Source organism: Homo sapiens, chromosome 15 (genome assembly GCF_000001405.40).
Source record: "Homo sapiens chromosome 15, GRCh38.p14 Primary Assembly".
In the NCBI taxonomy this organism is placed as follows: domain Eukaryota; kingdom Metazoa; phylum Chordata; class Mammalia; order Primates; family Hominidae; genus Homo; species Homo sapiens.
The window spans coordinates 69,396,558-69,420,088 of record NC_000015.10 but is presented as its reverse complement, the minus strand read 5'-3'; the positions used below and the strand labels follow the sequence as shown (position 1 = coordinate 69,420,088).

Genomic DNA, 23,531 nt, shown 5'->3' with positions numbered 1-23,531 from the left:
TTCGCCATGTTGGCCAAGCTAGTCTCGAACTCCTGATCTCAAGTAATCCCTCTGCCTCGGCCTCCCAAAGTGCTGGGATTACACATGTAAACCATCATGCCCGGCAGCAATGCTCTTTTCATTATACAATGTTGCCTTCTGTCAGAAAGCAGTGACTATTTTTAATCCCCATCAAACCTTTTTATACCTACTCGATACCTACTCGATACCTATATTTATACATACTTGAAATTTACTTAAAGAAGTAAAACTCAGTAAATCAGTGTTTAACTATATTATATCCTTAAAGACCTGCTCCTCCAAAAAACCCTCCCAGACCATTCATTCTTGCTGAAGCCATATTTACTATTTGATGAACAGAACATATAAGGTACATATTCCCTGGAAGTTTACATTATGGTAGAGGAAAGACAATAAACAAGTAAACAAATAGATTGTGGTTAAGTAATGTAAAGGAGGCATACAGAGTACAGACCAGGGGAGAGGGGTTGTGGGGTGCTGTTTCTGATTGGGTAGTCTATACAACCCGAGGAGGTGATATTTAAGCTGAAACCCAACGATGACCCATGCTAAGACCCAGAAAAAGAGAAGTCCAGGTTAAGGCAACAGCTAACAGCCAGGATTCTGCCTTATCCAAGAAACTCAAAGGATTGGATGAATACTAAAAGATGAATGAAGGTGGAGAGACAGATGGGAGACGGATGAAGCAGGATTTTGTCTGTTCAAAGATTTTATTCTTTGAAAGGTTTTGAACAGGAAAATGAGATTTTATGTTTTAAAAGATCACTGTCTGCTCTGTAGAAATGGATTAGAGAAGATTCCAAGTGGAGGCAGTTGGGCTTTGGAAGTCTTGTCAATGATACCCAAAGCACACTCAGCAAACCAATGCCAGTCTGAGATTGGTTACCAGACTACTTAAATGTTTAGAAAGTTGTTTTTTGTTTGTTTGTTTCTTTGTTTGTTTGTTTTTTGAGATGGAGTTTCACTCTTGTTGCCCAAGCTGGAGTGCAATGGCGCGATCTCGGCTCACTGCAACCTCCGCCTCCTGGGTTCAAGTGATTCTCCTGTCTCAGGCTACTGAGTAGCTGGGATTACAGGCACACGTCATCATGCCCGGCTAATTTTTGTATTTTTAGTAGAGACAGGGTTTCATCATATTGGTCAGGCTGGTCTTGAACTCCTGACCTCAGGTGATCCACCCACCTTGGCCTCCCAAAGTGCTGAGACTGCAGGCATGAGCCTCCATCTGGCACTGCTCAATTATCAGTATTTCAGCATGTATTCAATAGGCTCATCTCTATGAAGAGATTATGAACTAGTTCCCTATTGTCTAACTCACACGGGCAGTTCCATCTAGCACAAGTTGTACAAAAGTCTCAGCTGTGACGCATTAAAAATAAAAAAGCTACTCCTTCATTACAGTAGCTCTGGTCTCAGTGATTAATAATGGGGCTCAGACTAGGGTGGTGGCAGTGGAGATGGAAATGAAAGGACAGTTTCAAGACACATGTTGGAATATAACTGATAGGAGCTACTAATGAACTAGTTATAAGGAGAGGCAAGTAAAAGGTAGGTACCAGGTTTCTGGCTTGAGCAACTGGACACACGATAGTGCCATTCCTTGAGAAGAAAACAAGGGAGGAAGTATTTAGAGAGGGAATAAGAAAAATCAAGAACTCCTTTTTGGGCATGTAAAATTTGAGATGCACATGTGACATCCAAGCAGAGATATCAAGTAAGTGGTTGAATGTTGAGAGCCAGAGAAAAGGTTTCAGCTGGAGATACAAGGAGAGCTGGAGGGGGAGACAGGAGAGTGCTGCTGACAAACAGGTTAAAATGAGGATGAAGAGGTATACATCAAATTTAGCAGCAAAGAGGCCACTGGTAGTCTTCTGAAGAGCAATTTCACAGGAATAGTAGGCACAAAAGAGTGAGTGACAGCTAGAAGTAGAAATGGTAGCCTGAATTAATCCTACTGCATTCCCACGGTCCCCTCATCTTTAGCACATCTAACTTTCTGTCTTATTTATATGAGAATTATTTGTTTACCATATATCTTAAGTTATAAACTTTCTAAAGGCAAGGAGTATGTCATGCTCTTTTTTTTAATCTCCTTCCACCCTCCAACTATTAGCTTAGCACATTTGCTAAACAATATTTTTGAGCTGACTCAAAACTTTACTAAAAATAAAAACACTGCATAGGAGGTTGATGCAAGTAAACAATGTCTATTATTAAATGTTATTTTCATTTCCACACATCAAGTTGTATATATAAAACTGCCTAGCACAATCATGTATCATTCCACATTAAATCATCCCTAACACATGCTCTAAGAAACAATAATACTCAGTGTAAGAAATTATCTGCTAAAAGCAATCCTCTAACCCCAGCATACCAAAGGTATGTCTGTGCATCCCAGAAGTCAAAAACACTTTAGATACAGTGGTTATAATGAAGTAAATAAGTCTTTTGAAAATGTGGGCTCACAAATGAACTTTGTTACATCTAAAAATCTAGAAGTCATTCAGGAAACAACATATTGAGTAAAAACAACTTGGTCCAAATCAGAATTACCTCCTTATAGTCTCCATTTCGGTTGAGTCTGTAGCCCTCAGGAGTATGAAGCTGAACAGTTGTATTATTGATCACTTCTATGCAACACTCTTGATCAGGAAAGCCCAGTGGGCGCACCCTACAGTATACCTGAAGAAATAGGAAGGTGCTTTAAGAAGAAAGTTCGACCTTTTGCCTGATTTTTCACTTAAGCTTCTCATTCATTCATTCATTCAACAAACATTCAGTCTCTCAATTTAAGAGCTCTGTATCTCCAAGGGCTAAGAAAATTAAAATCTGCTACTTGAGATTGACAAATACAAGTATGTATTAGATATGAGAATACTTTAAATACACACAAAATTAAAATAAATTTTAATAAAAATCAAATTGCAGTGTATTCACTATTATATTGTACACAAATAATAGTTATACTACTACTAATATCTCTAAAAGTCAACAACATGTCACACGAGATTTTTAAAACTGTTAGAATTTCTTGGAAATGGATGTCAATTTAAAAACTTGTCAGCTTAACCCAACATTTAATATACAAAGACATTTTTATTTATTTATTTATTTAGAGACAGAGTTTCTCTCTTGTCACCCAGGCTGGAGTGCAATGGCATGATCTCAGCTCACTGCAACCTCCTGGGTTCAAGCAATTCTCCTGCCTCAGCCTCCCGAGTAGCTGGGATTACAGGCACCCACCACCACACCCAGCTAATTTTTGTAATTTTAGTAGAGACAGGGTTTCGCCATGTTGGCCAGGCTGGTCTCGAACTCCTGACCTCAGGTGATCCACCCGCCTCAGCCTCCCAAAGTGCTGGGATTACAGATGTGAGCCACCGCACCCAGCCTACAGAGACATTTTTGAAAGCAGGGGAGGGGGCTTGAGGAAAACTCATTCAGCTGTGTGCAAAGCACCCGGTTCCCTTAACTCAGAGCCAGGGACCCACTCCAGTGGCAACGAGGGATAGATTTAAAATACCTCAGAGCAAAGAACCCTTTTTGTTTGCCATTTGTTGTTTTGTTTTAAAATTCTTATTCTTTTTGCCTGCTTCATTTTTTCTTCATAATTTAACTGAATTAAACTTGGTCCCAAGAAGTTTGGAACTCTCCTCATGCCATCAGTTACTGTATGGCATGAACTCAGTTCATATTCTCTGGGATGAATATGAACCCAGTTGGAGATTTTTAATTATCTAACTCTCCAAATTATAATTACAGAAGGTATGCAGTTGACAACCAAAGACTTCATTTTACTGGACTAATTTAATTAATCTTATAGAGAAAATTTCACAGCTAGCACTAGTTTTACACAATGTAGTACATCCATTTAACTAAATGTTCTTTGATTATACTTCCACATGTCTTCTTCTTTCCCTTCCAAGCATACACATAAGACAGAAAGGACTGAAGAGATAAGTTTCTTAAACACCACACATAAATTTACAGGGATACCTTACCCCAACTGGGTCTTTAAGGTTCGTTTGGGACCCTTTTTTCACGGTAGGTTTCCGGGGTGTCTTAGCTCTCCTGGTCATAGATTAAAAAATAATAATAACTTTTTTTTCAGTTCAACACGAATACAAAAGCCTCACCTAAAACTTATACAATCTTTCTAGGTTATCTGTAAATTATCCCTTAGCAGTTGCAAAACACTGCATCCCAAATAACATTAATAATCATAGTAGCAGAGTGTTTGTGGCATGCGTAATCCAAAAGTAATTAAAATTTGCTTTAGAATACATTTTTGGTACCAAAGCTACCTACTTATTCTCTGATTAGTTCTATACTTAAAATGGCTTGCATATTTTCTTGAGCAACAATTTAACAGAGGCACTACAAATTATAACTGCCCACACTTTACAGACTGACAAGCGATTAACTTCAATACACTATAAAAATGCACATGGAGGAAACCATTCTTTCGTCAAGGGTTACGCCTGTACTTTCAAGGAACAACCAGTCATTGAATGCTCAAAACATTACTCTTTGTCTCCAAACAAAATCTGGTCCCAAACTGCCAATTTCTTGGTTTCTTAAGTAGGGGCAATCAAAAAGTTATTTTGATTGATTTCACCATTTCTCTAGCATCTCATCTTTTTCCCTTCACATTTATCTATAGGCTAGATATACATTTAACACATTAAAATTAAGTAAGATTATTGGCTTCGACTGTAGTTTAAAAATATTTTTCCAAACATATTCTCAGATGAAACACAAGCAAATTCGTGTTATTCAGTGCAAAATACTTTGTGGTGGGCTTAAGTTAAACTCAACGTATATTTCTTATATATAATTTTTTTCATCTAAAGATTTTGACTTCGGCCTCTTAATAAACAAGTTGTCTTTTGCAAACGACTCCCTAAATGGTAATAAAGCCAATCCTCTCCTTTGCACGACAAATATTTCTTTACCCAGGAATGATGCTGCGCCGAAAATATTAGCTTAGGAATGTGGGCGGAGGTTCTCTGCGGCCACAAAATACAGCAGAAGTAACTGGCCTGTGTAAGCGGATGGGCTCGGCCTCAAGGACAGGGTGCTCGGCTGAAAAAAAAGCTAGCGGCGATCACCGGTGCCAGGGCTCTCCAGAAACGGAGCCCATCTAACCAATGCCCAGCACACTCGCTCTGCTCCACACACGAGACCACCTCCGACCCGCACTAAGTTGGCCAACTGCACTCTGGAGGCGGCGGCAGCCAGCGAGGGAGAAGGGAAAGGCTGTCCCGGGACCCCGAGGAGGACTGCCCCGCCCCCGGGAACCGGGTGCGGCGTAAAACAACCCCGGCTCCGGGCCGACCCTTCCTGGCCCCTTGGAGGCCCAGGCGGGGCGGCGGGGGGCGACGCGGCAGGGGTCTCCGCGCCCAGGCTCCCGCGGAGCGGCCACACGTGGAGGTTCCCACTTTGGGGTCGCGGCCGCAGCAGCACCGGGCGGGATGCTGTCCGCGCTGCCCGCGTACGGCCGCGGCCTGAGTGGAGACGCCTGCCCCCAGCCCCGAGGCCTCGGCCCCCGTCCGCCCTCTCTCCCTGCTCGGCGGCCTCGTACTCACGCTGACTTCATGGCAGCAGGCTCCACGCCGCCCAAACGCGCATGCGGGACGGCTGGCTGGCGAAGACTGCGGGACGTTAGGACCGGCAGCAAGAACTAGAACTTCGCGGCTAAGGCGCGGTGCTCTGCGAAGCCGGCGGCGACGCTAAGAGCCCAGGTGAGCTCCCGCCTGGCGCATTTCAAACGGGCCAATCAGCGCCCGTCCGCAGGGAGAGGCAGGACCTCCGCGGAAGTGACTTCGCTGCCGGAAGTGGCGCTTGTCTCCTAGGCGACCGACGCTGAAAGGGCCGCGGAGTCGCGTGTCAGGGCTGGAGGGAGATCTTGAGGTATGGTATTTAAACTCTTCCGCCTTGCGATGACGAAACTGAGGGTTTCTTTTCCTCCATCACAAGAAGTTCAATGGAAGGGCCTTTCCAGGGTTGATTCAGAGGTCGGAATGTCGTTCTGGTGAAAAGTGTTGTATTCCTGTGCTGTGCCCTGCTCCAAGTCTCAGGCTCCGTCTCTCTGGCTCCCAAGTCACCACATTATCTTGGCGTCTTTTCTCTCTCTGATTCACCTTTCCTGGGTTTCCCTCCAGCTCTGTCCTATATGTACATTATTTTATCAAATCTTTTTTTTTTCCTTTTTTATTTTTTGAGGTGGAGTTGCTCTGTCGCCCAGCCTGGACTGCAGTCTTCAGCTCACTGCAACCTCCACCTCCTAGGTTCAAGCAATTCTCTTGCCTCAGCCTCCCGAGTAGCTGGGATTACAGGCGCGCACCACCACGCCCAGCTAATTTTTGTATTTTTAGTAGAGATGAGGTTTCACCATATTGGCCAGGGTGGTCTAGAACTCCTGACTTAAGGTGATCTGCCTACCTTGGCCTCCCAAAGTGCTGGGATTACAGGCGTGAGCCACTGCGCCCGGCCTGTTTTATCAAATCTTGATTGTGTTTGATCCTGGCCTTACGGAGATGAATAAAATTTGGTCCTTACCCTTAAGGGGCAACCTTTTGAACCTACTCTTGCCTTAGATGAACTGATTCTATATCACTTCTGTCTTTGACCCTAAGCCGATGACTACCAAATACACATCTACACCTGGGCTCTCATGGAACTCTAGCCCCTTCTCAACTTCCTAAAGGACCACAGCACTGGTAAGGATAGTCACAATGTCCTTGGCCAATATTGTTGGTGCTCAGGAAACGACACCCCAGAGTATGGCTCTTTGGCACACTGAGTGCTTTGAACTAAAGAAGACTGAAAGTGCCTCAGAGAAGCCTTAAAAGCAAAGTCTGTCTCTGACTTTCTCCTGCCCTCTTGTCTCCCACCCCTCTGTGTCTCCTAAAGCAAATAATAGAAACCAGAATTTCTGTTCCCCAAGGCGGGTCATGGAAACTAGAACCCCTTTTCTCCCAAGCAAGCCAGAAACATTATTCTAGAAAAACCTAGAAATATTAATCTAGCCTTCCCCCACCTTTTTGTGTAAGAGCTGGCCATAAAGACATTCTTTGATGTACCTTGTCATAAGACCCTCGTTCCAAAAGGGTCTTGCCCTACACTCAGGAAGAAGGAAAGCTGCACAGAGAGGCCAAGAAGAATCTGAACAGACAGGACTTGCTGGATTCCTCCTTCAGTCTGTTACTATTAGATCATACTCCTTTTGTACAATCACATTTCTACACAGCTGTCCATTCTTCATCTCATCTAAGCATAAAAATGGACAGCTTTCCCTGGGTCTTTGGGTCTTCATTTCTGAAGGCACTTACATCCCATAAAACTGTGATTCAATAAGTTATCCATTTATCTTGCTAACCTGTTTTTTGTTATGGTAGTGTCAGCTGTGACCCTTAAGATGGGTAAAGAAAAGTATCACACCTTTTCCACCCCTACATTGCACATTAGGATGGTTCCAACTTTTCCTATTACAGATACAGCTATAGTGAATGAATGTGGAAATTTATACAATGCAGGTAAATATGTAGGAAACATTTCTAGAAACAGAATTGCTGAGTCAAAGAGTATACATATGTGTAACATTTCACAGATATTGCAAATCATTCTCCATAAAAGCTGTCCAAATGTACACTCCCACCAGCCTGTATGAGAGTGCCTATTTCTCCACAATTCTCAAAGTGTTATCAAACTTTTCAGTAGCTACCAATCTATTGATATCTCATATCAATTGGTGAGAAAAAACATGTAGTTAAATTTTTCATTTATTTTCAGATAAATGTTGTCTATTCATATATTTTAGAGCCCTTTTGATTCCTTCTCTATCAACTGTGTTCATATTCTTTGCCTCTTTGTTCTATTGGTTGTTCGTTTTTCTTAATGATCTGTGAAAGTTCTTATATTAAAAAAAAATTGGTCCTCATCCAAAATACGAGTTTAAATACTTTTATTTTTCACATTTTGGTTATTTTTATTTGTATATGTTTTGTGACAGCTTGGAAAAAATTTCAGGTAGACAGATTAATCCGTCTTTTCTTTTATGGCTTCTGTTTTGTGTCATACTGGAAAAATACATCCATTCTGAGTTTTTTATTTTATTTCTCATTTTTTGTTTCCTAGTGCTTTTATTGCTTTGCTTCCTATGTTGAAGTCTTTGAATGATTAGGACTTTGTTGTCAAGCTAGAGTTTGGTATTTTGTTGGTTTGTTTGTTTTGTTTTGTTTTTTGAGACGGAGTCTGTCACGCAGGCTGGAGTGCAGTGGCGCAATCTCGGCTCACTGCAGCTTCCGCCTCCGGGGTTCAAGCAATTCTCCTGCCTCAGCCAGGCTGGTCTTGAACTTCTGACCTCAAGTGATCCACCTGCCTCAGCCTCCCAAAGTGCTAGGATTACAAGTGTGAGCCACCGCACCTGGCCTAGAGTTTGGAATTTTTATCATTTAGGAATTGGGCTTGGTTGCTGACTACTTATATCCTAGTTGCTCTTCAGTTTAGCTTCTACCTCAGACTCCATTGGAACTCTTGTCACCAAAATTACCACTTCCTTGATGCTAAATCTATTTGACTTTTGTCTTACTTGGCTTCTTAACAACACTAAAAAATGTTGCCCATTCCTTTCTTCCCATGCCTTTATTTTTTCTCCTAGCTGTCTAGCCCTTCTTTCTCAGTCTCCTTTGTGAGTTCTTTTTTTCTCCCTTAAATGTTGGGGCTCAGGGTTTAGAGCTGGTCACTAGGTGTGCCTTTTCCCTAGGCACTCTCAAGCACTCATATGGCTTCACATCCCATTCATGTTTGCTCTTCTGAGCTCCAGAGCCATATATCCAGCTGTCTTCTGGATTCTCCACTTCGATATCCCACAAGCATCTCACATCTAACACATTCTAATCTCTTCTCCCAAACTTGCTCCCTCTCAGTGGATGGCATCCACCAAGCCAGAGTCTAAAGCAACATTGTTAGCTTTTCTCTCTTCTTCTGTCTCAATATTCAATCACTAAATCTTAACAGTTCTACCTACTAAGTAGCCAAACCTCCAAACTGCTCCACTTTTCTCTGTCTCCTCAGCCACCATCTTCTCTTGTCTGATAAAGACAGCAGTCTCCTAACAGGCCTCTCTGCTGCCACTTTCCAATTCAGTTTCCATTTTGCTCATCTCTAAATCATGGATCTGATTATGTCACATACCTATATGAAACTCTGCAGTGGTTCCCCATTGTTGGAGACCCACCACAGGGCCCTGAGACGCTTCCTCTGGGGCTCATCACCCATCACTGCCCCCTGTCCCCTCTAGTCATGTTGAACTGCAGTGCCCTGAACACGCTGGGCTCACACGCCATTCTCTGTGCTGTCACGCTCTCCTCCCTCCTTTCCTCTGACAATGCCTTGCCTTCAGTTCTCTGCAGATCTGCCAGCTACCCTGCTGTGGATACTGGGCCCCGTGGTACAGCCCCCACGCCCCCAAAACTGCCCTTTCCCACTCACTGCACCTGTTGACTTGTTTCAGCACTCACATTCCAATTGGCAGTCACTGTTCATTCCTGTCTCCTCTACTGGCTTATCCCCACAGCCTCACTAGATGGCATCGTTGCATGCCCAGTGCCTAGCAGTGCAGGTGCCCCATACATGGCTTGAAGGGATGAATGAATCATCCCTTCAAAGAACGCTCCAGTTGAGGACCCAGTTACATCGCACCACCTCCAGCTTCTCTTCAGGCCAGTTTCTTCTTCCTCCCTCACTTCTGTATTAAAGTTCTCTGGCTTATTAATTTCCTTAAAACTACCAAATAATTACATCATTTTTCTATTCAAAAATAGCAAAGGGCTACCTATAGCCATTAAAAGATTTGCATTTTACCATAGAATTAGAGATCCAGATCAGGAGTGCGCGTAGGAGGGTGGGGAGAAGAGAACTGAGGGGCTTTTTTCTTTCTAAAGTCAAGTATTTTAGGTATAATTTACATACAGTAAAATGGACCCTTTTTAGTTGTATCGTTATGTGTATTTGACAAATATATAGTGTGCTGTAACCACAATCAAACGTATATTTCCATCACAGTGGAAAATTCTCTGGGCTGCCCCTACTCCCAGGCCTTGGCAACGACTTTTCTGATTTTCTTCCCTATACTTTTGCCTTTTCCAGAATGTCTTTTCTTTCACTCAGCATAATGCTTTGATATTCATCAATGTGTTGCATGTACCAGTAATTTGTTCCCTTTTTGTTGCTGAGTCTATTCCACTGTATGAATGCAGGACAATTTATTCATTCACCAGTTGGACATTTAGGTTGTTTCTACTTTCTGGAGATTATGAAACTGGTATAATTATTTGTGTAAAAGTCTTTATGTAGGTGTGTTTTTATTTCTCTTGGGTGGGATTGTGGGTCTTACGGTAAGTTTAACTTTATTAGAAACTGTTAAATTGGACCAGGCGAGTCTTATCCAAATCATTGAAGAGGGGCTGACACTACACAAATTCGAAATCATATATTAATCCAAACACCCAGATAAGCAAGTCCAGCTGTGGGAACCCAGTAAACACCAATGACCAGAAACTGCTGAAGCCCCGAGTGTTTGAGGGGAGGTGGTAAAATGGAGACAGCACTGCCTTGGGATCTTGGACATGCTCCGCACACTGTTCCCTCCCAGGCCCTGCTGGTCACTCAGTGGCCTTAGAAACATTGTCTCAGGTTCCCAGGCCATGAATCTCTCTCGCCAGGCCATTTGTAACATGAATGGTTAGATGTTAATGTTTACATACAGAAAACACAAATTAATAAAATCAACCTGGGGATGTGTGTGTGTGTGTGTGTGTGTGTGTGTGTGTGTGTGTTGGGGAGTTGGGGGACTGTAAAATTTACACAAAAAGAAACAAATGACTTGAACTATATTTCAAATAAATAACATACACAGAAAGGGGGAAATAACCCAGGTAACTGTGACTATTTAGAATCAAGCTTGCCCTCAGGGTCAAGACAAAAAAAAAAAACTTGAAACGTTTTGAATTCTAATTAGTAGGCACAGACATTAGTTGGTAATTCTGAAACAACATTCTGTACATTCTAGGATTGAGCAGATAAAATGTATCATGGGCTGGGTGAGGTGGCTCATGCCTGTAATCCCAGCATGTTGGGAAGCTGAGGCAGGTCTATCACTTGAGGTCGGGAATTCGAGACCAGCCTGGCCAACATGATGAAACCCTGTCTCTACTAAAAATGCAAAAATTAGCCAGGCATTGTGCCACGCGCCTGTAATCCCAGCTACTCAGGAGGCTGAGGCAGAATCGCTTGAACATGGGAGGCAGAGGTTGCAGTGAGCCAACATCGTGCCACTGCTCTCCAGCCCGGGCAACAGAGTGAGACTTCGTCTCAAAAAAAAATAAAATAAATAAAATAAAATAAAACATATTGTGGCTAATGGCAGTCAGCTTTCTCACTGTTGGAAAAGGGAGGAAAGGAGAAAAGGTGAAAAGTACCTGGGAATTCTTTGCACTATTTTGCAACATTTTTCTAAGTCTGAAATTGTATTTAAAAATGGTTGGACTATATCAGTGCTTCTGAACTCCCTTATATTAAAAATTACCTACAGCTTTAGCTAAAAATTTGAAACTACAGGATCACCTCCCCCACTGTGGGTAGTCTGTGTCAGTATGTTTGGGCCTGAGAATCTGCATTATACATCATCGAACAAATTTTAAAAGGGCTGAATTAAATGATCTTTGAGGGCCTTTCCTTCTGTGTTCTGGAGGAGGCAAAAAAATTCAGCCTGTTTCAGAAATCTGTTGCTTAGCATGAAGAGAATGAGCGTGGCAACTGTCTGAAGTTAATTTCTTATGAGTTGACACATTCCATACAAGTACCAAGAGACATAGGAAAGCCCTATAGGCAATTTCTCAAGGGAAAAAAAATCAGGAAAATCTCAGAATTCTTCAAAAATCAAGTCATCCAGATATCTTCTGGAGTTAACATCCTTCCAGTAGAACAAGTACCTGCCAGCCTTGGGACCCCTCTACTTAGCTCAACCTGCAATCCCTTCCCCCGACAAGCTGACAAGGCTGGCTCCTTTTTGCCCATCAAGTCTTCCTCAAATGTCAGCTTATCAGAGTGACCATCAATTCACATGCCCTACTAGGCTTAGTTTCTTTACAGCACTTATTATCTGGATTCATCTATATATCCTGTCTGCCTGCCCAACCAGAACACTAGCTTCATTAGGGAGGGACATTGCAGGTTTTTTTCACTTGTGTATCCCCAGTTCCTAGGACAGTGGCCATTCTATACATCCTAAGCACTAACTATTCATTGAATGATTTACTGATACACATGTGTACAGGGATCTGTTTCTCATGGTGAATTAACATATTTGCAGTGTGGTAGATAAAACATAACCAAATTAAGTGGCAAACAGGATGACTTTATGATAATAAATAAATTCTGTTTATTTTTTTCTCTCACATAGTTCAAGAAAACCAGACATTAGTGTAAGTTGGAGAACATCTGAGTTTGGAAACAGGTCTTTGCCTTAATGGATTGTTGACTAGAAAATCAGAGGCCGAAATTCAAATAATATGTTTTGAAGTGTTGTTGTACCGTGTTAATAGGTGTTTCATATAAAAAGGGTAGCATGGACTGGGTGCAGTGTGGCTCATGCCTGTAATCCCAGCACTTTGGGAGCCTGAGGCAGACAAATCACTTGAATTCAGGAATTCTAAGCCAGCCTGGGCAGCATGGCAAAACCCTATCTCTACAAAAAGTTAGCCAGGCTTGGTGGCATGCACCTGTAGTCCCAGCTACTCAGGAGGCTGAGGTGGAAAGATCACTGAAGCCTGTCAGGCAGAGGTTGCAGTGAGCCAAGATTGCAACACTACACTCCAGCCTGGGCAACAGAACAAGACCCTGTCTCAAAAAATATTTTTTTTAATTAAAAAATGTTAAAGGGTACCATAAGGTACAAAATAGTGTCAAATGAAGGGTTTCTTGAACATATCTGACAATGCCATTCTACTACACCGCACCTACCTCAGAACCTCTCATATGAGCAAGTTTCTACTGGGCGGGGCAGCAGGGGGAACAACACTTCCAGAAAGACTTCAGCAGACCAAATATTTAAACCACTTTATACTCAGAAGACCTCTAAATTTCCCATAACATCCTACCAACAATTACAAATTCTTTTTTTTTTTTTTTTGAGGCAGGGTCTTGCCCTGTTGCCCAGTCTGGAGCGCAATGGCGCAATCATAGCTCACTGCAGCATCCAACTCCTGGGTTCAAGCAATCCTCCCACATCACCCTCCACAGTAGCTGGGACCACAGGTGTGCACCACCACAACCAGCTAGTTTTAACTTTTTTTTATAGAGACAGTGTCTGGCTCTGTTGCCCAGACTGGTCCTGAATTCTTGGGCCCAAGCAGTCCTCCCACTTCAGCCTCCCAAAGTGCTGGGATTACAGGCATGAGCCACTGCATCCAGCCACAGATTCATTCATTCATTCGTTCTTTCTTTGTTTTAAGACTAGTCAAGTGCAGTAGTGAGAAGAGGGGAAGAGTAGAACAAGGAGCTTGATCTATAACTGACTGCGAACAATCAATTGAGCTAACTCACTACCTTCAGACCAGCCACAAATTCATTTCTTTAGAAAAAAGATGAGAATTATTTTCTAAAAACTGAGCAATGGAAAAGGAACCCCTTCAATGGGTAAAGGGAGGTAAAGTTAACTGAATGGCCTTATTCATCATACACATTCAAGTTTTATCACAGTTGTAAGGTCTGGTAAATTTTTGAGTAGTGCTTCTCAAGCAAGGGGAGTGGGGAGAGGTACATCCCATTAGGAATGTGCCACCCTCCCCACCATAGTCTTTTTTGAGACAATGCCATGGTGAGCAATTGTTACCAATGGGAATGTGTCACATGTCTTAAATGTAGTGAGACACTTTTTAAAAATTAAGACCCACTCCAGTGAGGTCTTCAGCTGACCCCCTGCCAACCTTTTAGACTTTCTGAGATGGCTTGGATGAAATTATACTCACATTAGACATCTAATGCCTATTATTTAATACTTAATGATAATTAATATATTTGAACCCCTTCTCATTTTGCATAGGAAGCTTTCAAATCAGTGTTCTGCAAACTGTCGTAAAATTCTGATTTATAACACTGTCCCCAAAAGTATATAATGGGACTAAAGTTTACCAAACTTATAAAAATGTTATGAAACACTGGATCTTATTTTGTTGATTTAACATTTCATTTCCATCATTAAGCATGTGAAAAAGCAACATAAGCAAAGATTAAATAATCTAAAAATCCTTCAAATTGGTCACTCATTATTTCAGTACTTACTGAGCTAAACATTATTTTGTTACCTATAAAGGAGAGAATGTAAAACACTGTATGTCTTTGGCATTACTAGAAAGGGGTATTTAAACTTTGTACCTTTTTTTGCCATAAAATTGAAGTTACAGTAAGATGAAATGGAAGCTCACAAGCCCTGTTGGTGTGGAATTCCACTAATAATGTCAGATTGTTGCCAGAAAAACAAATTTTGTCATGCAGCTTGCAATTAATGTACCAAAAATTTACCAGCCCATATAATTTTATCAGTCTGCCTTCCCCAGAGGAAGTAAACAGATAATAAAACTAACGAAATCATATTTCTTGACCACTCTCATCCAATATAAATTGTTACTTGTCCTTCGAGTATTAGACAGTGAGCTGTTTACAAGGCCATTCAAATGTCTGGGCTAGTTAATGGTAGAGGCAGTAGTCTAAAATATGGAGTATTCCTGAGTCAGCAAAGAGGATCCTGCATTGTGAGGAAGCCCCCCTAAGTCATTACCAAGTGCAGATCTGGGTTTGATGGGCCTCTGTCAAAAGTTGTTTTGCATCCGCATTTCTGTGTTCCCTGAAAACACCATGAAATACTGAACTTTAATCAGTAATGCAACAAATGAGAAAATGCTCAGTGTTTTAGAACTATTCAGAGTAGAAAACGCTGGAACATAAAATGAGGTTACGCCTTAGTTGGTGAGTTGCTAAAACTTGAGATCAGGCGAAACAAAGCTGATAGGTCTAATGCCTTTTGGAACATGTAACACCAGCAGTTCTTCAAGTTTGGCCTCTGGCCCTCCTGTATTAGAATCATCTGGGAGACTTGCTCCAGTGCAGATCTCCTCTACAAAACCTACATTTAACCTAGTGAAGCAGAACCCCCTGGTTTTCCCTAGGAGTCTGCATTTGTCACAAGCTTACTGGATGTTTCTGATTCACAGTAAAGCTTGAGAACACTATATGTGACCACCCCACTGGCAAGGTGATTAACTTCTTATGCATATGGATACTAAATTTTGCAACATATTTGAAATGCTGAAGCAATATCAAATGTATGACATCCCCAAATATAGCAATTTCCATTGGTTTAAAAGGTGGCATATGAGCACAACCAATTGGGATTAACTCAGTCAACTCTTATGGTTTAACACATTTTACCTGCACTGAAAAATACTTTGCAGATCAAACTGGCAACCAGAAAACAGAACATAACAGAACACATGACACCCCGCTGTGGACTTTTAAGAAAAAAACTGACAAACTCCAAATCCATAATGACATGAGAACTTACACTTTGAAGGCAGAATGGACTTGTGGGAAGAGAGGACTCCCCTTCTGTTCTCCCTTCACTAGGTGGAGAAGGGAAGAAGGGCTCTCCCCAGACAGCTCTCTTCATTCTGGAATGTTTTGCCAGTCCCCAAGGCACTCAGTGACCAACTTTCTTTCACAGGTCCTCCCAGTGACTGACCTGGCTCATTCTCCGAAAGTGGTTGACAGGCCACTACGAGAGCTCTTGAGAGAAGCTTTGTGACATGAAATTCATCAAATGAAGCAAGATTCATTTTTAAAGAATAATACAAAGCTCCAGAGTAATATGCTTAATCCAAATGTTTAAATAGAATTTAAAACCACATTTTAAGTAAATTTAAAATTAATGAAATATCAATAGTTTGCCTTAACAAGGACTTGCTTGAACCATATTCTCCTTTTAAAATCACACACACAGAATCAGTGTACATTTAGAGAAATTTCCCCAGCTGAATAACATTTTTGACATGAATTCATTCAAAAGACACCAACCATTATGAATATTTTAGGCCATGATAAGCTGTAACCACCTCCGGCTTATGGTGGTTAGGATGTTGCAGCTTAATGTTGACATCTGGCATGAAAAGCTTATGGTCTGAGTCATGTTTCTTTTTTATGTAATTCTGGCTTGGGAATCCGATACAGAGCAGCTGAGAAATAAATTATGTTGCTGAGGCTGAAGATGATGCACAGAAGTATGGCTCCAGCTATCTGAGAGAAAGAGAAGGGCTTGGAGGTGGCCAGGAGCCATTCCTTCCTCAGAGTCTTGTCCAGAAGTATGGCTTCCATCTGCATGTGCGTGGCCAGGATCACACACACGTGAAACAGCTGGTGACTGTGACCTATGGCAAACACAAAAGGCCGTCAAGATCAGCAATGAAAAGGAATGAGTACTGATACATGCTATGGCATTCATGCTAAAAATGATGCTAAGTGAAAGAAACCAGACAGGAGACCACATATTATATAAAATCTCCAGAATATGCAAATCCATAAAGACAGAGAGTAGATTAGAGGCTGCCTCAAGCAGGGGGTGAGAATAGGTATTAACAGTGCATGGGTCTGATGGAGGGGATGAAAATGTTCTAAAACTGATGTATGGTGAATTTACTGAAAATATCATTAAATTGTATACTTGACATTAGAGAATTATTGAATATGTGAAATATACCTTAATAAATTTATTTTTAAGAAGCAATATGGGAAAAATAAAAGGCCCATCAGAGAAAACCAAATCCAAATTCTTTTTTAAAACAACTTATCCACCAGTCTCATTTTTCAGATGAAAAAATTAGGCACCAAAGTTCATCTCTTGAGAGCCAGCACTGATCAGCTCAGAGTCTCACTTCAGTGCTGAGGGAGAAGCTGGCTGAATTTTCTGTTGGCCACTAACCAAGTGGACCTCTCCCTACTGCCAGTTAGTCACAGATATGACCAGGACTCTTCCTCCCCAATGCCATGCTGGACCCAGCTCACATGGTGCCCTTCACAGAGGCTGGGAGCCCAGTAGAGGGTAGTGGGAGTGACAGGGACAGGGACGTGCTGGGTGGTTGGTGAGAAAACAAATCCAATGCCTAGGGTCGGGGGCAGCTTTGGGGGACAACCCTCAGACCCCAGGAGTAAGGAGGCGACCACATGTGTTATGGGCTGAATGATGTCCCTGAAAAATACATGTGCTGAAGTCTTAAGCCCCAGAATGAGACCATATTTGCAGATAGGATCTTTAGAGAAATAATTAAATAAAAATGAAGTCTCTAAGATGGGCCTAATCCACTATGACTGGTGTCCTTATAAGGAAAGGAGTTTAGGCCAGGCGCGGTGGTTCACGCCTGTAATCCCAGCACTTTGGGAGGCTGAGGCGGGTGGATCACGAGGTCAGGAGATAGAGACCATTTTGGCTAACATGATGAAACCCCGTCTCTACTAAAAATACAAAAATTAGCCGGGCATGGTGACACGTGCCTGTAATCCCAGCTACTCTGGAGGCTGAGGCAGGAGAATGGCGTGAACTCGGGAGGCAGAGCTTGCAGCGAGCCAAGATCATGCCACTGCACTCCAGCCTAGGCGACAGAGCGAGACTCCGTCTCAAAAAAAAAAAAAAGAAAGAAAAGGAGATTAGGACACAGACATGCACGTATACAAGAAAAAGATCATGTGAAGACAGTTGGAAAGAACGGCCATCGACAAGCCAAAGAGAGAGGCCTCCGGAGAAGCCTACTTGCCAACGCTTTGATCTCAGATTTCCAGCCTCCAGAATTGTGAGAAAATAAATTTCAGTTGTTTAGGCCACAACAGTCTGTGATACTTTGTTATGGCAGCCCTAGCAAACTAATGCAGCATAAGAGTTAAATAAGGTTTCTCTTTTGGTTTAAAAAAAATAAAATAAAAAGGCTGGGCATGGTGGCTCACACCTGTAATCCCAGCACTTTGGGAGGCCAAGGCAGGAGGAGTGCTTGAACCCAGGAGTTTTGAGACCAGCCTGGGCAACACAGTGAGATCCCATCTCTAGAAAAATAAAAAATTCAGTGTTTCACCCCCAGGACCTATCTCAGAAGAAATATTCAATAAATGTGTCCTAGGAATGAACCGGCCTGGCCACCTCTACTATTGAGCAGGAGCAGAGTTAGGAAGATTGAGCAGGAGCAGAGAGGGATTCCCACCTCCAGCAGACTCTGTTAGTTAAGGACTGAGAATGTTCCAAATCTTGTTAATGATCTGTCATGAACTATTTTCTAGGAAATGTCCCCCAGAGGGGTGTTTTTCAGCTCTGTACCCCTAGGCCCAAGAGGATGGGACAGAGGTGAATAAAATGTTATTAAGAAACCTGAGTGGTAGCAAAAGAAGGCCCAGGGCCATTTTTCCTGCAACCCCAAAACTTGCTACACAGCCACCTCTACTTCATTAAGCGGGGCTGGGGAGGTGGACATGGCAGTCAGGATGCTGGTGACTCCGATTCCCTGGCCTCTCCTTTTCCTCCTTTTTGGAAATCTGTTCTCTAAGCATTTTACTAGTTACAACCCCTTCTGACACAACAAAAGAAGAAAAGGAGATAAAACTTTAATCAGATCAAACAAACTGCATCTGGCCACATCTTTTAGTGAGAGGAGATGGAAAATCAGGAACAAAATGGGCTTGGGGAGAAGCAAGCTTCCTGCCCTGGTGGGGACAATGACTGGCCCTTTGATTCCCATGTACTCACCTAAGGAACTCTCACCCCAAAGTCTTGTCAGCCTCACCAGAAATGATGCAAGGGTTCCTCCTCCTAGCCAGTCCCAGAGCCAGAGCGGAGGAGGCACATTCTGCAGGGACCCGCCCCTCCTTCCCTAGACAGAGCGGGGAAAGAACTCTGCCAGCAGGTGGAAACCCCCGTGACTCTGACACCTTCTCTCCACCAGATCACTTCAAACTTAAGTGAGCTCAGGTTCATCTGGAGGATGACTCGGCCTCTGTGTGAGTATTGGGTTTCACTCCTGGCGTTTCTGGTTCAGGAGGTCTGTGGTGGGGCCTGAGAATCTGCATGTTCTCAGATGATGCTGATGCTGCTGGCTGATGACCACCCCTGGAGAAACCACTGCTCTACCCTGAACCCCTGGCCCCCTCCCGTCCACCATGCTCAAGACAAAGAAAGATGCTTTCTCCCCTTTTCCCTTTTCTGCACAGCCCCCTGTTGTCTGGTACCCTCAGAGCCATCTTCATCCTTTCTTTCCTCTTCCTCTCCTCGGCTGCTCCCAATGTACTTTTTCTCTTCACATAGGATCTCTCTCACCCAGGCTAGAGTGCAGTGCATGATCATGGCTCACTGTAGCCTCAACCTTCCAGGCTCAAACCAACGCCTCCCAAGTAGCTGGGACCACAGGTGCACGCCACCATGCCCAGCTAATTTTTGTATTTTTTGTAGAAATGGAGTTTCACTATGTTGCTCAGGATTGTCTTGAGCACAGTCTCAAGTAATCTGCCCACCTTGGCCTCCCAACGTGCTGGGATTACATGTGTGAGCCACCACGCCCAGCCCCAATGTTCACTTAATCATGGGATTCCATGTTCTGGATGACAATAAGACACACTGGCTCCATACCCCATCAGAATGCTTTAGGCTCCTGGGCCCACCTGCCCTCCATCCTGCCCATGCTACCTAACAATGCACCTGCTGCAGACATCCTGACCTCTGTCAACTTGCAATGTTACTCGCCTTGGCCTCTCTCTCTGCCCTTCCCTGCCCTTTGCAGCTACGTGCACTGGAGTCAGGGACAGGACCCTCCCCAGTCAGGAGGGCAATGAGCAGAGCAGCAGGGCTGTTGCCCACTCACCGATGTAGTCAAAGCGTCCAGGGGCTAGGCGTTCTGGCAGATGTGCAGAGTACAAGAAAGAGGCCAGGAGGGTCATGATCATGTGCTTCTGGTGGTACGAGGTGGCTTCATTTTGTGCACTCTCCCCTGGGAACAGGAATAGCTGCAGGTGTTTAAAGAAACATCAGGTCTTGAGAGGACAGGCCTGAGGCAGGCCCTCTTCCTTCTCAGCACCTGCATCTGGGACTTTGGGGGCTCTGACACCCACACATGTTAGCACACATACACAAACTCCAGAGGCCAAGGCCCTCACCTCCTCAGGTCTGTGACCTGGTAGAGGAAACTCAGGCACCATGTGAGCAGAGCTCCTATCCTGAGTGTGGTCGATTGAGACTCGAGACTATTGTATTTCAATCCCCCAAATACTCATGAGAGTCTTTTGGTTTATTTACTTAACTGAATCGGAGAGAAAAAGGAAAGAAGAAAGGAATGGGAAAGGAAAAGAAAGACAAAAAATCCTATTAGATAATTGGTATTCTTTCTGGGGTAAAATGTAAGTACAGTTGACTCTTAACATGCAGGCTAGGGGCATTGACCCCCTGCAGTCAAAAGTCCATGTACAACTTTTGACTCCCCCAAACTTAATTACTAATAGCCTCCTGTTGACTGGAAGCCTTACCTGTAACAAACTGCCAAGTAACACATATTTTGTGTAGGTATTATATATTGTATTCTTACAATAAAGTAAGCTAGAGAAAAGCAAGTGATATTGAGAAAATCCTGAGGAGGAGGAAGAAGAAAAGGGGTCGGTCTTGCTGTCTCATGAGTGGCAGAGGTGGAAGAAAATCCATGTAAAGTTCCAACCCATGTTTAAGGGTCAACTGTTTAGTGGATTCACACTGGAACTCACTTTTTATCAGCACATCCACTGAACTGGTGCTCCTAATTAAGGCTTTAAGGCCTAGAAATCCCTGGAAGGCCTTCTGAGTCATCCAAAAGTATCAATGATGGCCACTATACTGTTTCAGAGCTAAGTATAGTTTTTGTATTATTGTTATAAAGTCATAGTAGCCACCACTTACCGAGGGCAGCAGGCCAGGCCTCTTACATGCATCATTTCACCTGAGCCACAATTATCATAAGGCAGACTCTATCTTCCCCATTTTGCAGGTGAGGAAGGTGGGCCAGAGAGTGACTTGCACATCACTTAGTGAGAAGTGAAGTCAGGATCTGAATCCAGGCAGGCTGATTCCAGCATCAACATCACCACTTAGAACTGGACCTCCCCTTCCCTCTGCCCTCCTCTGACTCAGCCACATGCCAGAAGCACACGATGCTTGTCACAACACAGGACTTGCACTGCCTGATTTGGAGGTACATGGGACAGAATTGCTCTGTCTGCTCTTGGTTTCCTGTGTGTGGTCTGCGCCCTTGAGGAAGGAGTGAGGGGAACGGGCTGCAGCCCCATCTTTGGCGCTCTCCCAGACCCACAGAGGCAGAGCACAGAGAACGTGCTCAATGCCCCAGCTGCTGGGTGGAGCTCAGCCCCTCCCCTTGTCCCTCAGCCCTGCCATCTGGGCTTTATTCTTCAAGCCCACAGGACGCTGCCTCTAGGAGGGAGCTTCACTCACCGGGTACTGGACAGGCACCGCAGAGCCTATCAGATCCATTGTTTTCCCCTACAAAGGAGGCCTAGTACCCTTATGTACAGATGAGGAAACTAATCTGAGGCTTAGAGAGTTGTGTGTCCTGCCTGAGGTCACATAGCCAGTGAGCAGTGGGGCCAGAATTTGAACTCAAGCCCGTATGGTTTGAAAGTGCGTGGACTTTCCCCTTCTAGTCCTACTTGTTGTCCCTCCTACACTCTCTTCCTTTATGCTCTCCATCTCTTTCCCATCGCTCCTTTAAGACCCTCATTCATGCCTTTTCCTTCAATACTAACAGTATACTACTTGATGATGGAACAATGCATTCCCGAACTCTTGCTACCAGTCAGCACTTGACATGTTCCCCGTGTAATCCTCCCCACAGCCCATGAGGTGTTATCAGGCCCAGCTTACAGATGAAGGAAATCGAGGCATAGAGAACTGGCCCAGGGACTGACAGCAAGTATTGGAGACCTGCCTGCAGAGCTCGCTCTCCTGCTCACTCCACTCAGCCCCAGGCTGCCTGTTCTATGACGTTCCCGAGCCCCCAGTCATATTGTCAGTCAGGGCCTCTGTGCTTATGTCATCTCCTAACCACTCCTCAAGTGCCACCAAGGCAGCACCTGGGTGTGGGGGAAAGAAAGATATATCAGACTGTTACTGTGTCTATGTAGAAAAAGGAAGACATAAGAAACTCCATTTTGATCTGTACTAAGAAAAATCTTCTTATTTATTTTCTCAGTCTCTCGTCCCACCTGACGAGAAATACCCACAGGTGTGGAGGGGCTGGCCCCCTTCACCTGGGTCTCGACTCCTGTTTTGTTCTGCGGTTCCCATTGCAGTGCTGTGACCCCCCAGAAGCTCAGGAAAACAACTGACTTCCTGGTGTTGCCAACAGGCAGAGAGGAGATGCAGCCAGTCCTTACCCTGTAGAAGATGGGGAGGGAGTCCCAGGTGTACGGATAAGCAAAGGCGAGGACACGAATCACCTTACAGAGTCTGGGCTTCTGGATTTCAAGAAACCTAAATCAGGGAAGGAAAGTGGGGAGGAAATGGAATGAAAAGAGTCTCAGCAAATTGCATACGCACATGCATGCACACCGAGGGCCTGGTCATCAACAGAGGACAAGCATTTTTCTACAAGCTCCTGTGGCCAGCAGCTTCTCCACCAGCCTCGTCCATTCCTCCCACCCCAATGGAAGTGACAAAACTTCAGATGCAAAAAGATCTCCAGGGACACCATCTCCTGACCATGGGAAGCAGTGGTGTCCAGACTAAGCCAGAAAGGAGGCGCTGGGCAGAAACCCTTCAAGGGCCAAGTTATGTAACTGCCAAAGAACCTTTTAAAACTCTAGTTGCTACAGGGACAGGGAACGGGTAGGGGGAATCGGGGGATCCACTGCCACAGACTCTTGGGGGGCACACTCTGCAGAGGCTGAGATGCACCCATCTAGTTGGAGCCCAGGTATTATCATGCAGGAGACCTGGGTTCAAGTAGGTGTTTGACCCTTGGAGAGCTTTCTGGAATATTTATACCACACACAGGGATACTTGGCTTGGGAAAACTAAATAAACGTGAAGTCTTTCCTTCTCTTCTTCATTGCCACCCTCACCCAACCTCCAATCCAAAGACAGCTGACAGCAACATTAAAACAAGTGATGCTGATTGTTGAGAAGAGAGGCAGGTCCCCCCAGACAGAACATGACAGGGCCTCAGCTGACTTGGGCCCAGCCTGGGGCAGCAGCTCAGGGTATGGGGAACTGGGTAGCACAGACAGCAGGCTGCACACTGGGAGGACATGGGGAGGGGCAGGGAGGGTCTCTGCACAAAATCACAGCCCTGAACTGAGGCCTGGGTAAGGAAGTGCTCATGGGCCCTGGCTGGGCCACCAAGGCCAGGTAGTAGGGACAGGTAAAGTCCCCACATCAATGC

At 44.0% G+C, this 23,531-nt stretch overlaps 2 protein-coding genes and 1 long non-coding RNA gene across 42 annotated transcripts in view, besides 2 other annotated features; 1 reads left to right on the top strand and 2 right to left on the bottom strand.

Moving 5' to 3' along the window:
- KIF23 (kinesin family member 23) overlaps nt 1-5,740 on the bottom strand; it is a 34,079-nt gene extending 28,339 nt beyond the window's left edge. For 13 of the 18 annotated variants that reach the window (NR_160295.2, NR_160296.2, XM_005254797.4 and 10 more), the window contains exons 1-3: nt 5,613-5,740; nt 4,026-4,095; nt 2,578-2,706 (exon numbers count right to left, since the gene is read on the bottom strand). Coding sequence is in view for 15 of the 18 variants with exons in the window: in XM_005254797.4 (XP_005254854.1) it covers nt 2,578-2,706; nt 4,026-4,095; nt 5,613-5,623 (210 nt within the window). In the remaining 3 variants the exon portion in view is untranslated. Of the gene's footprint in view, nt 1-2,577; nt 2,707-4,025; nt 4,096-4,979; nt 5,062-5,612 lie in introns of those variants that run through there. The other 5 variants (XM_047433368.1, XM_047433371.1, XM_047433370.1 and 2 more) reach the window with 2 other exon arrangements.
- KIF23-AS1 (KIF23 and PAQR5 antisense RNA 1) lies at nt 5,060-23,185 on the top strand. 3 transcript variants are annotated; one of them, NR_132970.1, is made up of 3 exons: nt 5,060-5,937; nt 19,062-19,116; nt 22,341-23,185. It is a non-coding gene; the product is annotated as a KIF23 and PAQR5 antisense RNA 1 (long non-coding RNA). The 3 variants fall into 3 exon arrangements; NR_132971.1 differs by lacking the exon at nt 19,062-19,116; NR_132969.1 differs by lacking the exons at nt 19,062-19,116; nt 22,341-23,185 and adding an exon at nt 15,809-16,807.
- Nucleotides 5,341-5,420: a silencer, noted in NCBI's record as "silent region_6599". NCBI's record gives its function as "represses an Ori minimal core promoter by ATAC-STARR-seq in GM12878 lymphoblastoid cells {active_cell/tissue: GM12878}" and the evidence as "EXISTENCE:reporter gene assay evidence [ECO:0000049][PMID:35858748]".
- Nucleotides 5,451-5,570: a silencer, noted in NCBI's record as "silent region_6598". NCBI's record gives its function as "represses an Ori minimal core promoter by ATAC-STARR-seq in GM12878 lymphoblastoid cells {active_cell/tissue: GM12878}" and the evidence as "EXISTENCE:reporter gene assay evidence [ECO:0000049][PMID:35858748]".
- The window catches only part of PAQR5 (progestin and adipoQ receptor family member 5), a 108,869-nt gene continuing 97,646 nt past the window's right edge, over nt 12,309-23,531 (bottom strand). For 19 of the 21 annotated variants that reach the window (XM_047432749.1, XM_047432747.1, XM_047432748.1 and 16 more), the window contains 3 exons: nt 22,525-22,621; nt 19,974-20,115; nt 12,309-16,508 (listed from right to left, as the gene is read on the bottom strand). In XM_047432749.1, the coding sequence (XP_047288705.1) occupies nt 16,267-16,508; nt 19,974-20,115; nt 22,525-22,621 (481 nt within the window). In that variant the 3' untranslated portion in view covers nt 12,309-16,266. The remainder of the gene's footprint in view (nt 16,509-19,973; nt 20,116-22,524; nt 22,622-23,531) is intronic. The other 2 variants (XM_047432753.1, XM_011521727.3) reach the window with 1 other exon arrangement.